The sequence below is a fragment of the Homo sapiens genome, chromosome 2 (genome assembly GCF_000001405.40).
Source record: "Homo sapiens chromosome 2, GRCh38.p14 Primary Assembly".
Taxonomy (NCBI): domain Eukaryota; kingdom Metazoa; phylum Chordata; class Mammalia; order Primates; family Hominidae; genus Homo; species Homo sapiens.
This window is the reverse complement of record NC_000002.12, coordinates 82,947,882-82,953,413: the sequence shown is the minus strand read 5'-3', so window position 1 is coordinate 82,953,413 and position 5,532 is coordinate 82,947,882. Positions and strand designations below refer to the sequence as shown.

General features: G+C 38.6%; 2 annotated features.

Moving 5' to 3' along the window:
• Positions 2,535–3,035: an enhancer, noted in NCBI's record as "H3K27ac hESC enhancer chr2:83177503-83178003 (GRCh37/hg19 assembly coordinates)". NCBI's record gives its function as "activates a minimal SCP1, AML or CMV promoter by ChIP-STARR-seq in primed H9 embryonic stem cells {active_cell/tissue: H9 hESC(primed)}" and the evidence as "EXISTENCE:reporter gene assay evidence [ECO:0000049][PMID:30033119]".
• Positions 3,036–3,536: an enhancer, noted in NCBI's record as "H3K27ac hESC enhancer chr2:83177002-83177502 (GRCh37/hg19 assembly coordinates)". NCBI's record gives its function as "activates a minimal SCP1, AML or CMV promoter by ChIP-STARR-seq in primed H9 embryonic stem cells {active_cell/tissue: H9 hESC(primed)}" and the evidence as "EXISTENCE:reporter gene assay evidence [ECO:0000049][PMID:30033119]".

Genomic DNA, 5,532 nt, shown 5'->3' with positions numbered 1-5,532 from the left:
TTGTTTGCTCTCATTTAATCAGTTTAAATTGGAGACTCTTAACTCATTGAGAATTCTGGATGGATGCTAGGAGAGAAAAATCAACTTTTTAAAACCTGTTTTATAATGGAAGAAATGGGCCTCATGTTCAGAAAAGAAAATTCAATAAACCAAACTTATTTATTATTTAAGGTACAGCTAAATACAATGAAGTATTTATGAACATATCCTCTTAGGCTCACTACATTTGTGAAGAATTAAAATAAAAACTGCTTTGTGTCCTATGGGAGTCTGAGGGAGAACTCTAACTTTGTGAGCATGAAGGCATTTCTTCCAACAGATAAGAGAAGTCAAACTTCTATATTATGAATCAGAGGAAATTTCAACTGGCCAGAACAGGGTGAAAAGAGGGCTCTATGAGTTTAATTCACCAGAGGGCTATGGTTATTGTCTTAAAATAATGTTTTGGCATTCCCTTTTCTAAAAGTATTTTAGATTGCTTGAGTCTACTTTATGGCTCTATGTCAGTTGACACTAATGAATATGAAAGCTTTTGAGGATGAGAAGCAAAATTCAAGGATGGATATCTAAATATCTTTTCTGGAGGTGCCATCATGACTAAAAAGCATGTTCTTTTTGTGACCTTGAAAGTGGTTACTCACCCATGGAGACACACAGTTTTCTAATATATAAAATAAAAAACATTGAACCTGAAAAGTGTTAAAGTCATTGTTAGTGTTAATATATGTGACTTTATGATTTTACTTTATTATATAAAAAGGAAACAGTGATGTTGAGCAATGGTGAAAAGGAAAAATACTATAGAGGCAGATTTTTTTATGATTTCTGAAAATCTGGGGTGAGGAAATCTCATTTAGAAATTATAATCTGTGGAACATAGTAACTCATGGATAGTTTAGTCTGGTAGCTGACAAACTCAATACCATGTAAAAGGCTGAAATAAAATACTGCAGCTCATAAAGACATGGTTTTGAATAACATACTAGTAAGGAGAATATGAAGAAAGTTTTTATTTAAAACATTATAATACCCTCAGCTTATCTGAAGGAAAAATGAAACTGAAATATCTGATGTACAATTGCTGTTAATATATGGGTATTTTTCAGAATAAGACTCATTCAGAGAAAATTATAGTAACATTGTCTGTGAATGTAACATAAGAAAATCACACTTTGGCAAATTTGGAAGCTATTATCTAGGAAAGAGAATATACGTAAAGAAACCTTCTATTCAGCTATTTAATATTTTTGTGAGGTGTATTTTTTTAATAACAAGATTAAATCTTGTGGGATGTTTTATATGTATATATATGTGTGTATGTATGTATGTGTGTGTGTGTATATATATATATATTAGTGTTGATTTGTGATTTGCTAAAATATTTTTTACAGAATCAGGTTGGCTACTAAATCTGATAATACTCTGAAAATAATCTGATGAAAATCTGATAAAAAAAGTTGTATACTCTGTCCCTTGTTTCTGAGAAGAATCATTAAGAGTTTTCTGAGTTCGAATAAAAGACTTAATGCTTCTACTAAAGTATGTGCAGGAAGATGTGAAAACTGTTCACTTGGCTATTTGTTGTTGTCATTGTTTTTCTTCAACTGTTACTAATGGGAATTGTTGAGGCTGAAATGAAATAAAATAAGTCAATGCTATAAAGAGCAGAAAAACTAAATAATAAAATATCATCATGGAAAGTATCCTAAAATTATCTACGTTCTCCAGTTGATAGTAAACTCATTCACAGAAAGAAGTGATTTGTGCAAATTCCAATACAAAGTTGATAGCACAAAAGGGACCCAAACAAAATCAAGTTGCTTGAACCCCTATCCAATTCTTCATTCTTGTATATCACAGTTTTAAGCTATGGTAAATTTCCTGATAACAATCAACACTAGTAATATGTTTCTTCATTACAAATATCAAATCTTCTGCTTAGTGTCACTTTGATGAGTTAATAGAAGAGGCTGATACCTATATAACAAAATTTATATGGAGGCTTTGCATTTGAGGAAGCAGTCACTTCCTCCAGATTTTAAAGACTTGTTTTGGTGAGAAAAAACATTTACCTACAGGTGGGTGCAAGGCTGACAATGATTTTTTGGAAACAAATGCAAAACTAGATTAATGGGGTTACATCAAACTATAAAGCTTCTGCCCAAAAAAGGACATAATCAACAGAGAAAAAAGATAACCCACAGAATAGGAGAAAATGTTTACAAAATATATATCTAACAAAGGGTTAATATCCTAAAAGAATAAAGAACTCATGCAACTCAATAGCAAAAATACCCAAATAACTCAATTAAAATTATGCAAAGAATTTAAATTGACATTTCTCAAAAAAGTACATACCAATTGTAAGTAGGTATGTGAAAATGTACTGAACTTACTAATCTTCATGAAAAAATAAAGCAAAACTGATTCTTGGGCAAGATGGCTGAATAGGAATAGCTCTGGTCTACAGCTCCTAGCAAGACCAATGCAGAAGGCAGGTGATTTCTGCACTTTCCACTGAGCTATCCGGCTCATCTCATTGGGACTGGTTAGACAGTGGGTGCAGCCCATGGAGGGTGAGCAGAAGGAGGGTGGGGCATCACCCAGGAAGTTCAAGGGGTCAGGGAACTCCCCCACCTAGCCAAGGGAAGCCGTGAGTGAGTGACGGTGGGCCCAGATACTATGCTTTTCCCACTGTCTTTGCAACTCGCAGACCAGGAGATTCCCACAAGTGCCTACACCACCAGGGTCCTGGGTTTCAAGCACAAAACTAGGCGGCCATTTGGGCAGACACCCGAGGTAGCTGGAGGAGTTTTTTTTCGTACCCCAGTGGCACCTGGAATGCCAATGAGACAGAACTGTTCACTCCCCTGGAAAGGGGGCTGAATCCAGGGAGCCAACTGTTTTTGCTCAGCAGATACCACCCCCATGGGGCCTAGCAAGCTAAGACCCACTGGCTTGAAATTCTCACTGCCAGCACAGACGCCTGAAGTTGACCTGGGACACTCCAGCTTGGTTCGGGGAGGGGAGTCTGCCATTACTGAGGCTTGAGTAGGTGGTTTTCCCTTACAGTGTAAACAAAGCCTCTGGGAAATTCAGACTAAGTGGAGCCACTGTAGCCAGACTGCCTCTCTAGATTCCTCCTCTCTGGGCAGGGCATCTCTGAAAGGCAGCAGCCCCAGCTGGGGGCTTATAGATAAAACTCGCATGTCCCTGGGACAGAGCACCTGGGGGAAGCTGTGGGCACAGCTTCAGCAGATTTAAACATTCCTGCCTCCCAGCTCTGAAGAGAGCAGTGGATCTCCCACACAGTGCTCAAGCTCTGCTATGGGACAGACTGCCTCCTAAAGTGGGTCCCTGACCCCTGTGCCTTCTGACAGGGAGCCACCTCCCAGCAGGGGTAGACAGACACCTCATATAGGGGTGGCTCGAGGTGGCATCTGGCTGATGCCCCTCTGGGACAAAACTTCCAGAGGAAGGAGCCCATAGCAATCTTTGCTGTTCTGCAGCTTCTGCTGGTGATACCCAGGCAAACAGGGTCTGGAGTGGACCTCCAGCAAACTCCAGCAGACCTGCAGAAGGGGGGCCCGACTGTTAGAAGGAAAACTAACAGACAGCAGTAGCATCAACAGCAACAAAAAGGATGACCAAGCAAAACCACCATCTGAAGGTCACCAACATCAAAGACCAAAGGTAGATAAATCCATGAAGATGAGGAAAAACCAGTGCAAAAATCCTGAAAATTTCAAACACCAGAATGTCTCTCCTTCTCCAAAGGATCACAGTTCCTTGCCAGCAAGGGAACAAAACTGAATGGAGAATGAGTTTGACAAATTGACAGAAGCAGGCTTCAGAAGGTAGGTAATAATAAATTCCTCTGAGCTAAAGGAGCATGTTCTAACTCAATGCAGGGACATTAAGAATCTTGATAAAAAGTTACAGGAAGTGCTAATGAGAATAACCAGTTTAGGGAAGAACATAAATGACCTGATGGAGCTGAAAAACATAGCACGAGAACTTCATGAAGCATACACAAGTATCAATAGCCAAATCCCTCAAGCAGAAGAAAGGATATCAGAGATTGAAGATCAACTTAATGAAATAAAGGAAGAAGACAAGATTAGAGAAAAAAGAATGAAAAGGAATGAACAAAGCCTCCAAGAAACATGGGACTTTGTGAAAAGACCAAACCTACATTTGATTGGTGTACCTGAAAGTGATGGGGAGAATAGAACCAAGTTGGAAATCACACTCAGGATATTATCCAGGAGAACTTCCCCAACCTTGCAAGACACCAGAGAGCACTACGAAGATACTCCTTGAGAAGAGCAACCCAAGACACATAATCATCAGATTCACAAGGTTGAAATTAAGGGAAAAAATGTTAAGGGCAGCCAGAGAGAAAGGTCAGGTTACCCACAAAGGGAAGCCCAGCAGACTAACAGTGAATCTCTGTGCAGCATCCCTACAAGCCAGAAGAGAGTGGGGGCCAATATTCAACATTCTTAAAGAAAATAATTTTTAACCAGAATTTCACATCCAGCCAAACTAAGCTTCATAAGTGAAGGAGAAATAAAATCCTTTACAGACAAGCAAATGCTGAGGGATTTTGTCAACACCAGGCCTGCCTTACAAGAGCTCCTGAAGGAAGCACTAAACATGGAAAGGAAAAACCGGTACCAGCCACTGTAAAAACAAACCAAAATGTAATGACTATCGACACTATAAAGAAACTGCCACAACCAATGGGCAAAATAACCAGCTAGCATCATAATGACAGAATCAAATTCACACACAACAATATTAACGTTAATTGTAAATGGGCTAAGTGCCCCAATTAAAAGACACATACTGGCAAATTGGATAAAGAGTCAAGACCAATCAGTGTGCTATATTCAAGATCCTCATCTCACGTGCAAAGACACACATAGGCTCAAAATAAAGAGATGGAGGAATATTTACCAAGCAAATGGAAAGCAAAAAAAAAAAATGCAGGGGTTGCAATCCTAGTCTCTGATAAAACAGACTTTAAACCAACAAAGATAAAAAAAGACAAAGAAGGCATCCCTTTACACAATGGTAAAGGGATCAACACAACAAGAAGAGCTAACTATTCTAAATATATATGCACCCAATACAGGAGCACCCAGATTCATAAAGAAAGTTCTTAGAGACCTACAAAGAGACTTAGACTCCCACACAATAATAGTGGGAGAATTTAATACCCCACTGTCAATATTAGACATATCAACAAGACAGAAAATTAACAGGGATATTCAGGGCTTAAACTCAGCTCTGGACCAAGTGGAGCTAATAGACATCTACAGAACTCTCCACCCCAAATCAACAGAATATACATTCTTCTCAGCACCGCTTCACACTTATTCTAAAATTGACCACATAATTGGAAATAAAACACTCCTCAGCAAATGCAAAAGAATGGAAATAATAAGAAAGTCTCTCAGACCACAGTGCAATCAAGTTAGAACACAGAATTAAGAAACTCACTCAAAACTGCACAACTACATAGAA